Source organism: Homo sapiens, chromosome 10, assembly GCF_000001405.40.
Source record: "Homo sapiens chromosome 10, GRCh38.p14 Primary Assembly".
NCBI classification, from domain to species: Eukaryota; Metazoa; Chordata; class Mammalia; order Primates; family Hominidae; genus Homo; species Homo sapiens.
This window is the reverse complement of record NC_000010.11, coordinates 749,693-770,158: the sequence shown is the minus strand read 5'-3', so window position 1 is coordinate 770,158 and position 20,466 is coordinate 749,693. Positions and strand designations below refer to the sequence as shown.

Below are 20,466 nucleotides of genomic sequence, written 5' to 3'. Positions count from 1 at the left end.
CTCTTGCTGCTTCCAGGCCGTTCACTGGCCAGAGTTAGGGAAAAAGATGATATGTGTATGCTAATATTTCCAACGCACATTTAACATTCTAGGGTTTTTACTGTTTTAAATGTTATATTTACATCTTTGTGTGAGTCCATTCGGGCCGCTGTCATAGACTGGGTGTCTTGTAAACAACAGTCACAGTGCTAGAGGCTGGCAGCCAAGGTACTGGCAGAATCAGTGTCTGGTGGGGGCCTGCTTCCTGGTTTGTAGACAATGCTTTCCTGCCTCACACATCCTCACATCGTGGAAGGGGAGAGAGAGCTCTCTGGGGCCTCTTTCATAAGGGCACTAATCCCATTCACAGGGGCTCCACCCTCATGACCTAATCTCTTCCCAAAGGACCCACCTTCAAACACCATCCCCTCCGGGGTGAGGATTTCAGTGTATGCATTTTGGGGAGACACAAACATTCTGTCTGCAGCTGTCTCTGCTTTTTGAGATGGAGCCTCGCTCTGTCACCCAGGCTGGAGTGCGGTGGCATGATCTCCGCTCACTGCAACCTCCGTCTCCTAGGTTCAAGTGATTCTCTTGCCTCAGCCTCCCAAGTTGCTGGGACTACAGGTTTGCACCACCACCCCCAGCTAATTTTTGTATTTTTAGTAGAGACAGGGTTTTGCCATGTTGGCTGGGCTGGTCTCGAACTCCTGACCTCAGGTGATCCACCCACCTCAGCCGCCCAAAGTGCTGGGATTGCAGGCGTGAGTCACCGTGCCCAGCCGTCCTTTTTTCTTACAATGAAATGTTCCATTCATTGTGTGGATTCCCTTATTGACCTGCTCTCCCAGTTCTCCAAGTCTCGCACACATTGTTCAATCCAGGATTGAGTATCAGTTGCCGTTATATTTACCAATTTAAATGAAAGCGCTCAACAACATACACGCATTCTGGTTGCTCCAAATACTCATCAGCACTTGGTGTTGTCAGTCTTCTAAATCGTAGCCATTTAGCAGTGTGCAGTAGTCTCTCATTGTGGTTTTCATTTGCATGTGATTAATCTGCATAATGTTAAGCATATTTTGGTTTTTTTTGGCAATTTGTATATTTTATGAAGTGTCCAAATATTTTTCCCAATTAAAAAAATGAGTTGTTTGTCTTATCATTGAGTTGTAAGAGTTGTTTCCATATTCCAGGTACAAGTCCTGTGTCAGAAATTTTCTCCCAGGTTGGGGCTTGCTTTTTCATTTTCTTAATGGAGACTTTCAAAGTACAGAAGTTTGCATTTTAATCTGTGCTTTCTGTGTCTTTATTCTTTGGCTACTTTTTTTTTTTTTTTTTTTAAGACAGAGTCTCACTCTGTCACCCAGGCTGCAGTGCAGTGGTGTGATCTCGGCTCACTGAAACCTCCACCTCCTGGGTTCGAGCAATTCTCGTGCCTCAGCCTCCCAAGTAGCTGGGATTACAGGCATGTGCCACCTCACCTGGCTAAGTTTTGTATTTTTAATAGAGATGGGGTTTCGCCATGTTGGCCAGGCTGGTCTCAAACTCCTGACCTCAAGTGATCCACTCACCTTGGCCTCCCAAAGTACAGGCATGAACCATCATTTCCAGCCCTTTGGCTACTTTTAAGATTTTGGTTTTTTATTATGAGTTTTGAGTATTTTCATTATAATATGTCCTGGTATGATTTTCTTTGTATTTATCCCTGAGGGGTCATTGAGTTTTTGGGTTCTAGGTTTATATGCTTTTTTTAATTTAGAAAATTGCACCATTAAATTTCTCTTCACCCCCATCCCCAAGCTAGGCTTCCAGTTACACACATTTAGACCACGTGATGTAGCCTTGGGTGTTTGAGGCCTCTGCTCAGGTTTTCAGTGTTTTTCTCTCTGTGCTTTATTTCGGATAGATTCTTTTGCTGTGCCTTTAAGTTCACTGATCTTTTCTTCATCAATGTCTAATTAGCTGTTAATACCATTTAATAGAATTTTTGTTTTAGCTATTGTAATTTTCATCTCTGGAACTTTCATTTAGTTCTTTTTCTATCTTTTATATCTTGCATTTTTCTCTCCTCATTATATTCTTGAGAATATTGAACACATCTATAATAACTATTTTAAGTCTTTGTGTGCTAACTCCGTAATCTCTGTCACTTCTAGGTCTGTTTCTATTGACTGATTTGGCTTCACATCTTCTCGCTTTGTTGCATGTCTGGTAATTTTGTTTTAGATGCCAGCCAATGTGAATTTTAGATTTTCAGACTCTAGATTTTCTTGTATTTCTTTAAAAACTATTGAAGTTATTTTCAGTCCTGCTTGATCTTTTCAAGTCTTGTTTTTAAGCTGTTTTAAGGCAGGTCTAAGTTAGTCTTTCCCATAGAACTAGTTTAGGCTCACTACTAAGGCAGTTTACTGACGGCCAATGGACTCAACACAGTCTCTCCCTCCTAGCCATGGAGGATGTAAATGATTCCTCACCTGTGAGCTCTGGACGTTGCTTCCCTTATAGCTCCCCAGTGCCTTTTCTTTCCCTGGAATTTGCTGTTTGCAAACTAAGGAGTTTTGCCTTGGTCATGAGCATATGGTTTCCAGCTGAAGACTCAGGAGAACCCTTATGGATCTTTCTGAGCTCTTTGCCTGAGTGATTTTCTCCTCTCCAGTACTCTGCCTCCTTTATTCAATGAGCAAGGCCAGGTTACTCAATGAACAAGGCCACCTGGCCTTGTTTTCCTTTCCTTTGCCAAGATCACAGTCTGACTTCAGGAGCCAATCTAGGCTGCTTGGAGGACTGACATCTCCACTGTTCCCCACTTCCTAGGGATCACAGTCCTGCACCGTCTGCTGTTCAGTGCCTGTAAACAGTGTTATGTACTGGGGTTATTTTGCAGATAGATTGTTAAATACATGTTATCTAATTTTCTAGCTGTTTTAGCTAGAAGTAGAAGCCTTGGTTTTATGTTTAATGATGATCTTTTTCTTAATTATGAAAATATGTGTTCATTTTAGAACATGTAGAAATCACATATAGACATAAAAAAGGAAAATAAAAATCACATACAACACACACACAAAAAATAACCTTTTGGTGTATATCTTTCTGGTAGAGTCCCTGTGAGTATATGTGTATGAGTGTGAATGTGTATATATACATACACTGGCTTTTTAATTTTTAAAATTCTTTTTGATATATTCTATTTGTACCTATTTATGGGGTACATGTAAAATTTTGTTACACTCATAGAACTTTCTGGAGGGGTCCCTATGAGTATATGTGCCTGTGTAATGATTAAGTCGGGATACTATGAATATATGTGCACGTGTAATGATCAAGTGGGGATACTATGAGTATATGCGCACATGTAATGATCAAGTGGGGATACTATGAGTATATGCACACGTGTAATGATCAAGTGGGGATACTATGAGTATATGCACATGTGTAATGATCAAGTGGAGATACTATGAGTATATGCACCTGTGTAATGATCAAGTGGGGATACTATGAGTATATGCACACATGTAATGATCAAGTGGGGATACTATGAGTATATGCGCCTGTGTAATGATCAAGTGGGGATACTATGAGTATATGTGCCTGTGTAATGATCAAGTGGGGATACTATGAGTATATGCACACATGTAATGATCAAGTGGGGATACTATGAGTATATGCGCCTGTGTAATGATCAAGTGGGGATACTATGAGTATATGCGCCTGTGTAATGATCAAGTGGGGATACTATGAGTATATGCACACGTGTAATGATCAAGTGGGGATACTATGAGTATATGCGCCTGTGTAATGATCAAGTGGGGATACTATGAGTATATGCGCCTGTGTAATGATCAAGTGGGGATACTATGAGTATATGCACACGTGTAATGATCAAGTGGAGATACTATGAGTATATGCGCCTGTGTAATGATCAAGTGGGGATACTATGAGTATATGCACACGTGTAATGATCAAGTGGAGATACTATGAGTATATGCGCCTGTGTAATGATCAAGTGGGGATACTATGAGTATATGCGCCTGTGTAATGATCAAGTGGGGATACTATGAGTATATGTGCCTGTGTAATGATCATGTTGGTATACTTAGGGTATTAGTCACTTGAGTACTTATTATTTCTATATGTTGGGTACATCTGAAGTCCTCTAGCTATTGAAAAACAATGCATAATTGTTAACTATAGTTAACAACTATAGTCTCCCTACCCTGCTATCAAACATTAGACCTTACGTTTTCTAATTGTGCATTTGCACTGTCCCCTTCATATGATTAACTTTTTAAATTTCCACATATAAGAACATGTGATGTTTGTCTTTTTGTGCCTGGCTTATTTTACTTAACACAATGAACTTCAGTTTCATCATGTTGCTGCAAATGACATGATTTCATGCTTTTTTATGGACAAATAGTATTCCATGGTGTGTGTGTGTGTGTGTGTGTGTGTGTATGTGTATATCACATTTCCTTTATCCAATCATCTGTTAATGAACACTTAGACTGGTTCCATGTCTTTGCTACTGTGACTAGTGCTGCAGTAAACCTGGGAGTGCCATGTATCCCTTTGATTTTTTTCCACTTTGGATAAATTCCCAGTAGTGGGATTGCTGGATCGTATGGTAGTTCTATTTTTAGGTGTTTTAGAAATCTCCATGCTATTCTCCATAGTTCCTAAACTAACTTACATTCCCACCAACAGTGTGTAAGAGTTCCCCTTTCTCCATATACTCACCAACATCTTCATGCTGTTCTTCCTAGTTGCTAAACTAACTTACATTCCCACCAACAGTGTGTAAGATTTCCCCCTTCTCCATATACTCACCAACATCTGTTATTTTTTTTTTCTTTTTAGTAATAGCCATTATAAGTGAGGTAAGATGATATCTCATTGTGGGTTTGATCTGCATTTCCCTGGTGATAAGTGATGTGGAACATTTTTTCATATATGTGTTGGCCATTTTTATGTCTTCTTTTGAGAAGTGTCTATTCTCCTTTGACCATTTTTTTTTTTTAATTGGATTACTTGTGTTTTTACTGTTGAGTTGTTTGAATTCCTTCCTTATATATTCTGGATGTTAGTCCCCTGTTGGATGAATAATTTGCTAACATTTTCTCCTATTCAGCTGGTTGTCTCTTCACTCTTGATTGTTTCCTTTGCTATGCAGAAGCTTTTTATTTAATATAGTCCTATTTTTGTTTTTGTTGCCTGTGCTTTTAAGGTCTTTACCATAAAATCTGTGCCTAGATCAATGTCCTGAAGTGTTTCCCCTATGTTTTCTTCTGGTAGTTTTATAGTTTCAGATCTTATGTTTAAGTCTTTAATTTATCTTGAGTTGATTTTTGTATATGGTGAGAGATAAAGGTCCAGTGTTGTTCTTCATATGGTCATCCAGTTTTCCCAGGACCATTTATTGAAGAGGGTATCCTTTGCCCAGTGTATCTTCTTGATACATTGTCAAAGATCAGTTGGTTGTAAATAGGTGCATTTATTTCTGGGCTCTCTATTCTGTTCCATTGGTCTACATATTTACTTTTATACTAATACCATCCTGTTTTGATTACTATATCCTTGTAATGTATTTTGAAGTCAGGTAATGTGATGCCTCCAGCTTTGCTCCTTTTGCTAGGATTACTTTGGCAATTCTGGGTCTTTTTTGGTTTCATGTAAATTTTAGGATTGCTTTTTCTATTTCTGTGAAAAATGACACTGGTATTTTGACAGGGATTACATGGAATCTGTAGATTAGGGAATCATGGTTATTTTAATGATATTCTTTCAATTCATGTGCAGGCAATGGCTTTCCAATTTTTATGTCTTCTTCAATTTCTTTCATCAGTATTTAGTAGTTTTCCTTGGAGAGATGTTTTACCTCCTTGATTAAATTTATTCCTAGGTATTTTATTATTTTTTGTAGCTATCATAATGGGATTGTCTTCTGGATTTCTTTTTTGACTATATTGTTATTGGCGTATAGAAATGCCACTGATTTTTATGTTGATTTTTGTATGCTATAACTTAATTTGTTTATCAGTTCTAAGAGTTTTTTGGTGGAGTCTCTTGGTTTTTCTAGATACGAGGTCATGTCATCTGCAAAAAGGGGCAATTTGATTTCCTCCTTTCCAATTTGGATTTTTTTTTTCAAGACAGAGTCTTGCTCTGTTTCCCAGGTTGGAATGCAGTGGAGTGATCTCAGCTCACTGCAACCTCTGCCACCTGGGTTCAAGTGGTTTTCCTGCCTCAGACCCCTGAGTAGCTGGGATTACAGGCACATGCCACCACGCCTGGCTAATTTTTGTATTTTTAATAGAGACGGGGTTTCACCATGTTGGCCAGGCTGGTCTCAAACTCCTGACCTCAAGTGATCCACCCACCTCAGCCTCCCAAAGTGCTGGGATTACAGGCATGGGCCACCACGCCTGGCCACTCAATTTGGATATCTTTTATTTCTTTCTCTTGCCTGATTGCTCTGGCTAGGAATTCCAGTACTATGTTGAATAGGAGTGATGAAAGTGGGCATCCTTGTCTTGTTACAGTACTAGAGGAAAGGCTTTCATTTTTTCCCATTCAGTATGATGTTAGCTGTGGGCTGGTCATATATGGCCTTTTAATTTTGAGATATGTCCCTTCTATGCCTAATTTGTTGACAGTTTTTCTCATAAAGGAATATTGAATTTTATCAAATGCTTTTTCTGCATCTATTGAGATGATCGTGTGTTGTTTTTTTTTTTTTTTGTCTTTCATTCTTTTGATTTGATGTATCACATTTACTGACTTGTGTATGTTGAACCATCCTTGCATCCCTGGGTTAAATCCTACTTGATCATAGTGTATAATCTTTTTGATGTACTGATGAATTCAGTTTGATAGTATTTTGTGGAAGATTTTTACATCTATGTTCATCAGGGATATTGGCCTATAGTTTTCTTTTTTTAATTGTGTCCTTGTCTGGTTTTGCTACCAGGGTAATGCTGGCCTTGTAGAATAAGTTAGGGAGAATTCCCTCCTTTTTAATGTTTTGGAATCATTTGAGGAGTATTGGTACTAGTTCTTCTTTACACATTTGGTAGATATGACAGGGAATCCATCTGGTCCTGAGCTTTTCTTTTTTGGTAGACCTTTTAATACTGATTCAATCTCACTACTCATTATTGGTCTGTTAAAGTTTTCTGTTTCTTCCTGATTCAATCTTCATAGGTTGTACATGTCCAGGAATTTATTCATTTCTTCAAGATTTTTCAGTTTGTTAATATAGTTGTTCACAAAAGTCTGATCTTTTGTATATCTGTGATATATTAGTTGTAACATCTCCTTTTTCATTTCTGATTTTGTTTACTTGGGTCTTCTGTCTTTTTTTGGTTAGTCTAGCTAGTGGTATATCAATTTTGTTTATCTTTTTGAAGAAACAACTTTTCATTTCATTTATCCTTAATATCGTTTCTTCATCTCTATTTCGTAAAGTTCTGCTCTGATCTTTATTATTTTTCCTTCTGCTAATTTGGGGTTTGGAATGTTTTCACCTTTCTAATTGCTTGTGGTTCATTGTTAGGTTGTATATTTGAAATCTTTCTACTTTTCTCATGTCAGAGTTTATTGCTGTGATCTTCCCTGAGCACTGGTTTTGCAGTATCCACAGAATTGGGTAGGTTGTATTTCCATTTCCATTTGTTTCAATACATTTTTTAAATGTCCATCTTCTTTATTGGCCCAGAGGTCATTCAGGAGCATGTTGTTTAATTTCTCTGTATCTTTACAGTTTTTAAACTTCCTCTTGATATTGAGTTTTAATTTTATTCCATTTTTGGTCTGAGAAAATACTTGATATGATTTTGATTTTTTAAATAATTCACTGAGACTTATTTTGTGACCTAACATATGGTCTGTCCTGGAAAATGTTCCACGTGGAGATGAGAATGTGTATTCTGCAGTTGTCGAATAAAATGTTCTGTAGATGTCTCTTAAGTCCCATTTGGTCTCAAGTCCAGTTTAAATACAACACTTCTTTGTTGACTCTCTGTCTAGAGGGTCTGTATAATGCTGAGTAAGGTGTTGAAGTCCCCCACTATTATTGTATTGGAGTCTCTCTCTTTAGATCTAGTAATATTTGCTTTATAAATTTGGGTGCTCCAGTATTGAGTGCCTACATATTTAGTCTTATTATATCATCTTGCTGGATTGATTTTTTTTATCATTTTATAATGACCGTCTTTGCCCTTTTTTACTGCTTTTGACTTAAAGTCTTCTGTTTTATCTGACATAAGTGTAGCTATTTCTGCTTGTTTTGGGTTTTTGTTTGCATGGAATATCTTTTACATTCCTTTACTTTCAGTCTATTTGTTTAAAGTGCAGTCCATATGTGCAATACCTGTAAAGTGCATTTCTTATAAGCAGCATATAGTTGGATCATGCTTTTTATCCATTCAACAAGTCTATGCCTTTCAAGTGGAGAATTTAATCCATTTATATTCAAGGTTATTATTGATGTGTGAGGTTTTGTTCCTGTCATGTTGTTAGTTGTTTTCTGGTTTGTATTCATTTTTCCTTTCTTTTTATCTTATGGGTTGTTGTGGTTTGGTGGGTTTTATGGGTTGTGGTTTGGTCATACCATTTGAGTTCTTTCTCTTCCTCATTTATGTGTTTGCTTTACTGGTAAGTCTTATATTTTCCTGTGTTTTTATGATGGTAAATGTCCTCTTTTCACTTCTAGGTAGGACTCCCTTGAGCATTTCTTGTAGGGCCATTCTAGTGGTGATGAATTTCCCCAGTGTTTATATAGGAAAGACTTTATTTCTCCTTTACTTATTGAAGATAATTTTGCTGGGTATACTATCCTTAGATAGCAGGGTTTTTTTTTTCTTTCAGTATTTTGAATATGAATATAGAATCTTATTCTCTCCTGGCCTGTAAGGTTTCTACTGAGAAACCCACTGTTAGTCTGCTGGGGGTTCCTTTGTAGATGACTAGATTCTGTTCTCTTGCTCTTTTAGAATTTTCACTTTATCTTTGAACAATTTGACTATAATGTGCCATGGAGAAGATCTTTTTGCATTGTATCTGTTTGGGGATCTCTGAGCCTCCTGTATCTAGATGTCTAAACTCTTGCTAGGCTTGGGAAGTTTTCACTTATTATTTCATTAAATAGATTTTCTAAACCTTTTGTTCTCTCTTTGCCTCTGGGATACTGATAAATATTTGGCCACTTTATGTGTCCCGTATGTCACAAAAGCTCTGCTCATTCTTTTAAATTCTTTTTTCTTTATTTTTGTCTGACTGGGTTATTTCAAAAGATTTGTCTTCAAGTTCTGAGATTCTACTGATCTATCTAGTTAATTGTTGAAGCTTTCAAATATGTTTTGTATTTCATTTAGTAAGTTCTTCACCTCCATAATTTCTGTTTGGTTCTTTTTCATGATGTTATCTCTTTGGTAAATTTCTCATTCACGTGCTGTATTGTTTTTTCTGATTTCTTTGCATTGTTTTTTATTTTTCTCTTGTATCCCACTGAGCCACTTTAAAAATCTATATTTTAAATTCTTTTTCCAGGATTTTGTAAGTTTGTTTTTTGTTGGGGTCTATTGCTGGAGAATTATGATGTTCCTTTGGAGGTGTCATATTTCCTTCCTTTATTCTGTTTCACATTTCCTTATGTTGATATCTGCAAATCTGCTCTAATAGTCACTTCTTCCCATTCGTTGAGTGTGGTTTCATAGGGGAGGATTTTTCCTGAAAATGTATCTATGGTGCTGATTGGATAGGGCCCTTTGGCTTTGATTCTGGGTGCATGCAGTAGTGTCGTCTCCATATTTCCTCTTTAGTTGTAAACAACATCGGTGGTGTCTGTGATTTCCTTTGTGGCTTAGGGTGTGGTTATTAGTGGAGGCTGTGGTGAGGCTTTGCTGGGGACTGGAATCCCAGGTGGGGCCAGTCTTCAGGCCCCAGTGGTGGCAGTGGGGGACTGACCATGCCTGTCCTTGGGACCCAAGGGGGCGTATCCTGGCACTGGTGGTAGCAGGTCCTGGTGGGCAATTTGGGGCTTCCAGGTAGCTTATTTGGATGCCAGTAGTGGTGGTGGTGGACCAGGTAAGTGGGTGGTTCTTGGGCCCCTGGTCAGCCAGCATGGCATGGGTGATGACAGTGGCAGGACGGCCCTCTGGGTCCCAAGCAGTGCATGCTGGTGCTGGTGGTGGCTGCAATGGGCTGGGCAGGCCAGTGTCTAGGCCCGCAGGTGGTACAGGCAGGTAGGCACCAGCTGTGGTAGTAGCAGCAGGGTGGGTGGGCCCAACCTCAAGACCCCAGGAGAAGTATTTAGGTGCTGACAGTGATGGACTGGGATGGGCAATTGCCTGGCACCCAGACTTCATGCTCTGGCATGGGGTGAGGGCACAGACGGCCAGGCAGGCTTGTGCTCAGGCCCCCCAGTGATGTGTGCAGGCGGCAGCTACGGTAGTCTGGGGCAGGGTCATCCCCAGCACCCCCCACGGAATGCTTGGTTTGGGGGCAGTGGCGACCATGCTGTTGCCTTCCACTGGGGAGAGTAGGACCCCCTTCACTGGTGGAAGCTTAGGCAGGTGGGTGGAGAATGCACGTGCCATGTACACCTCAGTCCTGGCAGCACCTGCACCTCAGTCCAAGCTGTGGCAGCCCGCGCCTCGCTCATGCCTCAGCCTGGCGCCACTGAGCCCCAGGACACTGCTTCAGTCCACTGGGGGTGGGACTCCAGCGCAGCACCTTGCTGTAGCTGCTTAGGTCTCAGGGAGTGTGTGGGACCCCTGAGACTCCCTCCCTCGGGCAGTGCCATCGCACAATCTCCTGGCAGCGCCCTGTCAGGTCAGGACCTGGGTGGTCAAGGGGGCTCTCCTGGCGGAGACTGCAGGAGTCCACGGTGGGAATGTAGGCTGCTGAAGGTCCCTCCTTCACCTTTCCCTGCACTAGGGGGTCTGTCCCAGCCCCCACAGTCCTGGGGCAGCAGCAGCCTTGCTCCCCTCTCTTCCTTGCTTTAGGAGTGTCCTGCCACTTTTCTGATGAATTCCAGTGTTCCCTCTTGGACAATCTACTCAGAATGTGATGAGTTACTATTTTGCTTCTTCTTAGTGAAGGAGGCAAATAACTAATGCCTCTAGTTAGCCCTCTTGGAGCCCCTCTCCCCAGTACCTTTTTTTTTTAATAAAAATAAGATGATATTGTACATACTATTTTACAATCTGATTTTCCTTTTTTCAGTTTCCACATCACTAAAGTCTGAGACCATCTCTCTCAGCTCTTTACTCATGAACCCCTTCATCTACCATCCTCCCCACTTCTGTCTTTCTTACCCTAATTATTTTGCAAAACTTCTCTGTAGAGTCAATTCCACTCCTCAACCATGCCAGACATTGCAGTGTACACAAAGGAGATAGAGGCCATGGTCTGCGTGCTTGAGGAGTTCAGGATCTCACTGGGAGAAGACAGAGGAATGCGTGGCTGTCTGGAGGGCAACAGCAACGTGCAGGTGGACACCTGACTGGCTGCGATTAGCCAAAGATGCATCAAGTGGATGCCAGAGTGGGAAGAGTTTAAAAAAAAAAAAAGAGTCACAGACCAAAACAATTAACTCTAGACTCTCACAAATGTCACCTTTTAATTAACTTTTCAGCTATTGAAAGCTTTGACTGATACGCTGGTCAGTTTTTCTCTTGTTTTAGAAAGGACTGTTTTGCCTGGCTTGAGCTGTAAAACCTGCCAATATCCCGCGGCAAAGGTCGGCAACACAAATTCAGAATGCTGCTAACAATGTGTTCACTCAAAATGCAAAGCAGGAGATCACCCATCCTGCGTGGTGCAATGTTTTGGTAACAGGCAGTTACTAGGACTCTCAGAGGTATGAAAGGGAGAATTTTACTTGTGGGATGGTAGTCACGGAGGGGGAAACAAATCCCCATTATGTGAGAGGTGAAATAAGGTAAATGGCTAATATTGAGAAGTCTTCTCTTTTAGGAGGCTGTATCCTTTTTTTTTTTTTTTTTTTTTTTTTTTTTTTTTTTTTTTTTTTTTTTCTTTTGAGACGGTGTCTCGCTCTGTTGCCCAGGCTGGAGTGCAGTGGAGCGATCTGGGCTCACTGCAAGCTCCACCTGCCGGGTTCACACCATTCTCCTGCCTCAGCCTCCTGAGTATCTGGGACTATAGGCACCCACCACCACGCCCAGCTAATTTTTTGTATTTTTAGTACAGACAGGGTTTCACCATGTTGGCCAGGATGGTCTTGATCTCCTGACCTCATGATCCGCCCGCCTCGGCCTCCCAAAGTGCTGGGACTACAGGCGTGAGCCACCGCACCCAGCCGGCGGCTGTATTCTTTAATATGCCAATTACATTTCTGTATTTTTTATTACTCAGATGATTTCACATTTTGTGTCCTATTCATCAGATATTTATATGTATAAATCACAAACATTTAAATTTACAAATATGTTTGGGTCTATTCCTGGGCTCTTTCTGTCCCCTTGGTCTATCCTGAGCCAACACCACACTAGTTGGTCCTTATAACTTGACAAATCTAGATATTGGGCAGGTCCCCACCACACTCCAGATATTGGGCAGGTCCCCACCACACTCCAGATATTGGGCAGGTCCCCACCACACTCCAGATATTGGGCAGGTCCCCGCCACACTCCAGATATTGGGCAGGTCCCCGCCACACTCCAGATATTGGGCAGGTCCCCGCCACACTCCAGATATTGGGCAGGTCCCCGCCACACTCCAGATATTGGGCAGGTCCCCGCCACACTCCAGATATTGGGCAGGTCCCCGCCACACTCCAGATATTGGGCAGGTCCCCGCCACACTCCAGATATTGGGCAGGTCCCCGCCACACTCCAGATATTGGGCAGGTCCCCGCCACACTCCAGATATTGGGCAGGTCCCCGCCACACTCCAGATATTGGGCAGGTCCCCGCCACACTCCAGATATTGGGCAGGTCCCCGCCACACTCCAGATATTGGGCAGGTCCCCGCCACACTCCAGATATTGGGCAGGTCCCCGCCACACTCCAGATATTGGGCAGGTCCCCGCCACACTCCAGATATTGGGCAGGTCCCCGCCGCACTCTAGAATTGGGCACGTCCCCGCCGCACTCTAGATATTGGGCAGGTCCCCACCACACACCCCTTCAGGAGTGTCTTAGCTACTTTTGGTTCTTTGCCTTTCAACGGGAATTTTAGAATTCATCCAATTCCACAAAATCCCTTTTGTGATTTTGATTGAAATCACTCTCAACCCATATATCAATTTGGGAGAAAGCAGCATGTTTGCGATCTTCAATCTTCCTAGCCATGAACGTATTTATCTATTTTAGAGTATCCTTTAGTGGTCTTCAGAAAGTTTCAAAATTTTCTCTGTACTGGTCTTGCAAATAATTTGTTAGATATATACAGAGTTGCCAGAGGTACATCTCCACAGTCTTTTTCATTTTTTGCTAAATACCAAATGGCCAGGGGGCTAAAGAGATGTTTGGCCAAAGCTGTGACCGAGGCTGAATATCAGAAAACTAAATAAATGTCTGAAACACAAGAATAAATATTAAATTTTATTAGAATTTTTATTTTATGCAAAATATTTCAATTTTGTTATTAAAATTTTAGTATCAAAATTTTGTTTGATGTTACGGTATAGGAAGTCGATTGCCAGAAGTGACAGTTGCTTGTGCCCTGGCAGTTACCACAGTGCACATTTGCAATGCCTTTACTTTCAAATTAGGTAAAAAACACAAAAGCAAGATATTTTTGAGGTGTATCTGTTTTTCTCTAAAACTTTCGTCTTCACGTTTTTAATGTATTTTCAATTTGCTCGTGTATTTAGTTTTGAAGACAGATTGTTGCTCCGTCATCCAGACTGGAGTGCAGTGGCATGATAATAGCTCACTGCAGCCTTGAACTCTCAAGCTCATGGGCTCCAGTGATCCTCCCACCTCAGCCTCCCAAGTAGCTAGAACTACAGGTGTGCACCACCACACCCAGCTTATTATTATTATTGAGACAGCGTCTCACTATGTTGCCCAGGCTGATTTCGAACTCCTGACCTCAAATAGTCCTCGCACTTGGAACTGCCAAAATGCTGCAATTATAGGTGTGAGCCACCATTCCCAGACTTATTTATTTATCTATTTTTAATTGACAGATAATAATTGTGTACATTTATGGGGTATAGTGTGATGGTTTGATCTATGTATACATTGTAGAAAGACTCAATCAAGCTAATTAACATATCCACCACCTCACCAACTCATCATTCTTTTTTACTGTGAGAATGCTTAAAGCCTATTCTTTTAGCAATTTCGAAGCATACATTATTATTAACTGTGGTCACCGTGCAGTGCAGTGGATCACTAAAACTCATTCCTCCTGCCTCACTGAAATGTTGTACCCTTTGATCAGCATTTCCCTTTTCCCCATCCTTCTCCTTCCCTACTTCACCCCTCAGCCTCTGGTAACCACCATTCCACTCTCTGTTTCTCTGTGGGATTGACTTTTGAAGATTCCACACGTAAGTGAGATCATGCAGTATTTGTGTTTCTGTGCCTGACCTATTCAAAGTAGCATAATGTCTTCCAGATTCATCTGTGTTTTTGAGAACAACAGAATTTCCTTCTTTTTTAAGGCTGAATAGTATTCCATTTTGCATATGCACAACGTTCTCTTTATCCTTCATCCGTCGATGGGTGCTGAGGTTGCTTCCGCATTTCAGCTACTGTGAATGGTGCTGCGGATGAACCTGGGAGTGCAGACGTCTCTTTGACGTGCTGATTTTAATTCCTGTGGCTCTACAGATGGCTCCTGACTTGTAATGGTTTGACTTACAATCTTTCAACATGACGATGGTGCAGAAGTGATGCACATTCAGTATTATTGGGGCTCTGTCCCAGTGATGCCATCATACGTCGAGGGTCGACTGTATACCTAAAGGTGGGATTGCTGGATTGCATGGTAGTTCTATTTTCAGTTTTTTGAGGAACCTCCATTCTCTTCTCCATAGAGGCTGTACTAATTTACAGTCCCACCAACAGTGTACAAGGTTTCCCTTGCTACACATCCTCACCAACACTTGTTATCATTCATCTTTTTAAAATAATAGCCATTCAAATAAGTGTGAGGTGATACCTTATTGTGGTTTTAATTTATTTCCCTGATGACTAGAAATGTTGAGCATTTAAAAATATTCCATTGGCCATTTGTATGTCTTTTTTTTTTTTTCGAGACAGAGTCTTGCTCTGTCACCCATGTTGGAGTGCAGTGGTGCAATCTCAGCTCACTACAACCTCCACCTCCTGGGTTCAAGTGATTCTCCTGCCTCAGCCTCCCAAATAGCTGGGATTACAGATGCACCACAACACTTGGCTAATTTTTGTATTTTTAGTAGAGACAGGGTTTCGTGATGTTGGCCAGGCTGGTCTTGAACTCCTGAGCTCAAGTAATACACCCACCTTGGCCTCCCAAAGTGCTGGGATTACAGGCATGAGCCACTGTGCCTGGCCTTGTGTGTCTTCTTTTGAGAAATGTCTGTTAATGTCGTTGGCCTATTTTAAAATCAGGTTATTTGTTTTTTTGGTATTGAGTTGTTTGAGTTCGTTATATTTTTGAGTATTAAGCCCTTATCAGATATATGGTTTGTAAATATTCTATCCTCATTTGTAGGTTGTCTCTTCATTTTATTGTTTCCTTTATAAATGACATTTTAAACAAATTACATTTTCTATTTATTGTTAGTATATAGACATGCAATTGAATTTTGCATATTTGTTTTATACCTAGCAAATATGACAATTTTAAATAATTTTGACCGTTTGTCTATGTATTTTGGAGAATCTTTATGAAACTACCATAACAGCTATACATGACAGTTTTGTCTTTTCCTTCACAGAATTACACTTTGTATGGCTTTTTCTTGTTTCAGTGCAATGATAAGGGTCTCAACAATGCTGAATAGGAGCCTGCCTACTAGGCATCTTTGTCTTGCTTCGGACTTTTAAAGAGATTGCTTTTTAACATTACTTCATTCATTACTAATTTTGCTGAGTTTTGCACAGATAGCCTGGGAACAGAAAATTGCAAACCCCATATTCCTTGATTCAATGAGTCTTATATACTATTATTCAGCCTGGCTCCAAAAAAATCAAGTGCATGCCAGAGATTAGGGGCCTCTTATTAGCACTTGATATAAAAAATCTTGGGAAGGTGAAGATGTTTGACTCAGGTAGGATAAGAAATCGAGGATGAAACTTGGAAATATTTGCGGGATATTTGAAGATGCTGAGACTATAAATATTTATTTTTAATTAAAAAAACTGTGGCGAAATACATATAACATAAAATTTACCATGTTAACCACAGTTTTGTGGCTTTAAATACATCCGTTGTTTTGCAACCACCACCAATATTCATCTCCACAGCTCTTGTCATCTTGTAAAACTGAAACTCTGTACCTATCAAACAGTAACTTCCCATTCCTCTCTGTCCCCAGCTCCTAGTTACGCCATTCTGCTTTCTGAACCTATTACTTCGACTACTTTAGGTGCCTCTTCTAAGTGGAATCATACAGTATTTGTCTTTTTGTCTTTTTTGTCTGGTTTATTTCGGTTAGCACAATGTCTTCAAGTTTCATCCATGTTGTAGTGTGTGTCAGAATTTCCATCCTTTTTATGTGTATTAGGGTTATCCTGGGAAACATAACCAGGAGGATAGCTATCCATATCTAAATCTACATCTATAGAGAGAGATTTATTATGGGAATTGGCTCCTGTGAACATGGAGGCTGAGAAGTCCACCATTTGCAAGTCAGAGAACCAGGAAAGCTGGTGATAAAGGAGTGCAGCCTGAGTCCGAGTTCCTAGCGTTGGTTCTTACACTTTTTCCTGGCTTTCCAGGGCTCCCTTGGGGCAGCAAGTGCCTGGAGCTGCCTATCCACCACCTTGCTGATGACACTTCCAGGCTTTCTTTTGGTTAGAATTTGCATGGTGTATCTTTTTCTATCCTTTTACCTTTTAACTGCCTATATCACTACATTCAAAGTCAATTTATTGTAGGTAGAATATGATTAGGTCATTTTTAGGTATTCTGACAATCCCTCTTTTCATTGGTGTACTTAGATGATTTACATTTAGTGTAATTATTGGTACATTTGGATTTAAGACCATGATTTCATTCGTCGTTTTCTGCTGTTCCCTATTCTCTATTCACCTGTTTCCCCTTTTCATCTTTCTTATTATTTGAACACTTTAAATATTCCATTTTAATTTATTGTGATTCTTAAACTCCACCTCCTTGTACAGTTTTTTAAGGACTGCTCTGGGAACTAGAATGTGCACATTTAGCTTTTCACAGTCAAGTTAAAATCACCATTTTAACACTTTAAATGGAATGCAGAAAGTTCATTACTACATACGGCACTTCACTCCTTCTCCTTTATGTTATATTTATCTTGTATGTTACATCTACATACCTTGAAAAAACAAATCAGACAATGCTGTAATTTTTGCTTTCAACTGCCAAACATTTTAGAGAATGCAAGAGAAGACTAGTTTACAGTAGCCCCTCTCATCCAGGTCAAACATCTTAGAGAACACAAGAGAAGACTAGTTTACAGTAACCCTCTCATCCAGGCCAAACGTCTTAGAGAACGCAAGAGAAGACTAGTTTACAGTAACCCTCTCATCCAGGCCAGACATTTTAGAGAACACAGGAGAAGACTAGTTTACAGTAACCCTCTCATCCAGGCCAAACATCTTAGAGAACGCAAGAGAAGACTAGTTTACAGTAACCCTCTCATCCAGGCCAAACATGTTAGAGAACATAGGAGAAGACTAGTTTACAGTAGCCCTCTCATCCAGGCCAAACATCTTAGAGAATGCAAGAGAAGACTAGTTTACAGTAACCCTCTCATCCAGGCCAAACATATTAGAGAACATAGGAGAAGACTAGTTTACGGTAGCCCTCTTATCCAGGCCAGACATTTTAGAGAACACAGGAGAAGACTAGTTTACAGTAACCCCTCATCCAGGCCAGACATCTTAGAGAACACAGGAGAAGACTACTTTACAGTAACCCTCTCATCCAGGCCAGACATTTTAGAGAGCACAGGAGAAGACTAGTTTACAGTAGCCCTCTCATCCAGGCCAGACGTCTTAGAGAAGGCAAGAGAAGACTAGTTTACAGTAACCCCTCTTATCCAGGCCAGACATCTTAGAGAACACAAGAGAAGACTCGTTTACAGTAGCCTTCTCATCCAGGTTTTTCCTCATCCAGGTTTTTGCTTTCTGTGGTTTTAGTTATCTGAGGTCAACCATGGTCCAAAATATTAAATGGAAAATTTTAGAAATAAAGAATTCGTAAGCTTTAAATCGCATGCCTTTCTGAGGCATGCACACCATTGTTCTTCATCCTACCTGGGATGTGAATCGTCCTTTTGTCCAGCGTATCCGTGCTGTATATGCTACCCACCTGTTAGTCCCTCAGCTGCCATCTTGGTTATCAGATCAACCGTTGCAGTATCCCAGGGCTTGTGTTCCAGTGACCCTCATTTTACTTAATCACAGCCCCAAAGCACAAGAGCAGTGATGGTGGCAATTCAGATGGACATACCAAAGAGAAGCAGTAAAATGCTTCCTTTCGGTGAAAAAGTAAACATTTTTTACTTAACAAGGCAAGAAAAAAGTTATATGCTGAGATTCCTAAGATCTTATGGTAAGAACAAATCTTCTACTCATTAAATTATGAAGATGAAAAAAGAAATTCGTATTAGTTTTGCTGTTGCACTTCAAACTGCAAAAGTTACAGCGAGGCTGGGCGCGGTGGTTCAGGCCTGTAGTCCCAGCACTTTGGGAGGCCAAGGCAGGCAGATCATTTGAGGTCAGGAGTTCAAGACCAACCTGACCAGTTCAACATGGCGAAACCCCATCTCTACTAAAAAATACAAAAATTAGCCTGGCATGGTGGCACACACCTGTAGTCCCAGCAACTCAGGAGGCTGAGGCAGGAGAATCACTTGAACCCAGGAGGCGGGTTACTGCAGTGAGCCAGTAAGTGCTTAGCTAAGATGGAAAAGGCATTACATTTGTAGATAGAAGACACGAACAAAATTGTGTTCCCACGGTCGGCAATCAGGTTCAGTGTCATCCATGGTTCCCGACATCCACTGGGGGTCTTGGAATGTATCCCCTGCAGGTAAATGGGACAACTGTATTATATTTACCCAGAAGGTCCAAATGCTTTCTTATTATTATTATCTTTTTGAGACGGAGTTTCGCCCTGTCTCCCAGGCTGGAGTGCAGTGGCGCGATCTCAACTCACTGCAAGCTCCGCCTCCTGGGTTCACACCATTCTCCTGCCTCAGCCTCCCAAACAGTGGGGGCTACAGGCGCCCGCCACTACACCCGGCTAATTTTTTGTATTATTAGTAGAGGTAGGGTTTCACCATGTTAGCCAGGATGGTCTCAATCTCCTGACCTCATGATCCGCCCTCTCGGCCTCCTAAAGTGCTGGGATTACAGGCGTGAGCCACCACGCCCGGCTGGTGATGGTCCAGATTCTTTCTAATGTTATTTCCTTCTGCTTCAGGAACTCCCATTATCACTTCTTCAGGAACAGGTTTGTGGGCAATGAATTCTCTCAGTTTTGCTTCATCTGAGAATGTCTTTATTTCATCTTCATTTTTGACAGATATTTTTCACTGGATATAGAATTCTAGGATGACAACCCTTTTCTTCAGCACATTAAAAATGTTCCATTTCCTTCTGGCTTCCATGGTTTCTGAGGATAAATGGACTGTCATTTGAAAGCTTGTTACCCTATAAGTAATACGTCATTTTACCCTGGTTGCTTTCAAATTTTTTGTCTTTGTTTTCAGCTGTTTAGTTATGATGTGTCTGAGTGTACATTTCTTTAGGCTTATCATATTTTGAGTTCACTGCACTTTCTAAACCTCAGAAGACACTGAGATTTAGATTTTTGTCAAATGGAATTTTTCAGCCATCATTTCTTCAAATGCTTCTTTTTTTTTTCTTTTTTCTTTTTTCTTTTATTTATTTATTTATTTTTTATTATTATACTTTAAGTTTTAGGGTACATGTGCACATTGTGCAGGTTAGTTACATATGTATACATGTGCCATGCTGGTGTGCTGCACCCACTAACTCATCATCTAGCATTAGGTATATCTCCCAATGCTATCCCTTCCCCCTCCCCCCACCCCACAACAGTCCCCAGAGTGTGATGTTCCCTTTCCTGTGTCCATGTGATCTCATTGTTCAATTCCCACCTATGAGTGAGAATATGTGGTGTTTGGTTTTTTGTTCTTGCGATAGTTTACTGAGAATGATGATTTCCAATTTCATCCATGTCCCTACAAAGGACATGTACTCATCATTTTTTATGGCTGCATAGTATTCCATGGTGTATATGTGCCACATTTTCTTAATCCAGTCTATCACTCATGGACATTTGGGTTGGTTC

At 40.7% G+C, this 20,466-nt stretch overlaps 1 annotated feature.

Annotated features, from left to right (window-relative positions):
• Positions 9,729–10,228: an enhancer, noted in NCBI's record as "H3K4me1 hESC enhancer chr10:805871-806370 (GRCh37/hg19 assembly coordinates)". NCBI's record gives its function as "activates a minimal SCP1, AML or CMV promoter by ChIP-STARR-seq in primed H9 embryonic stem cells {active_cell/tissue: H9 hESC(primed)}" and the evidence as "EXISTENCE:reporter gene assay evidence [ECO:0000049][PMID:30033119]".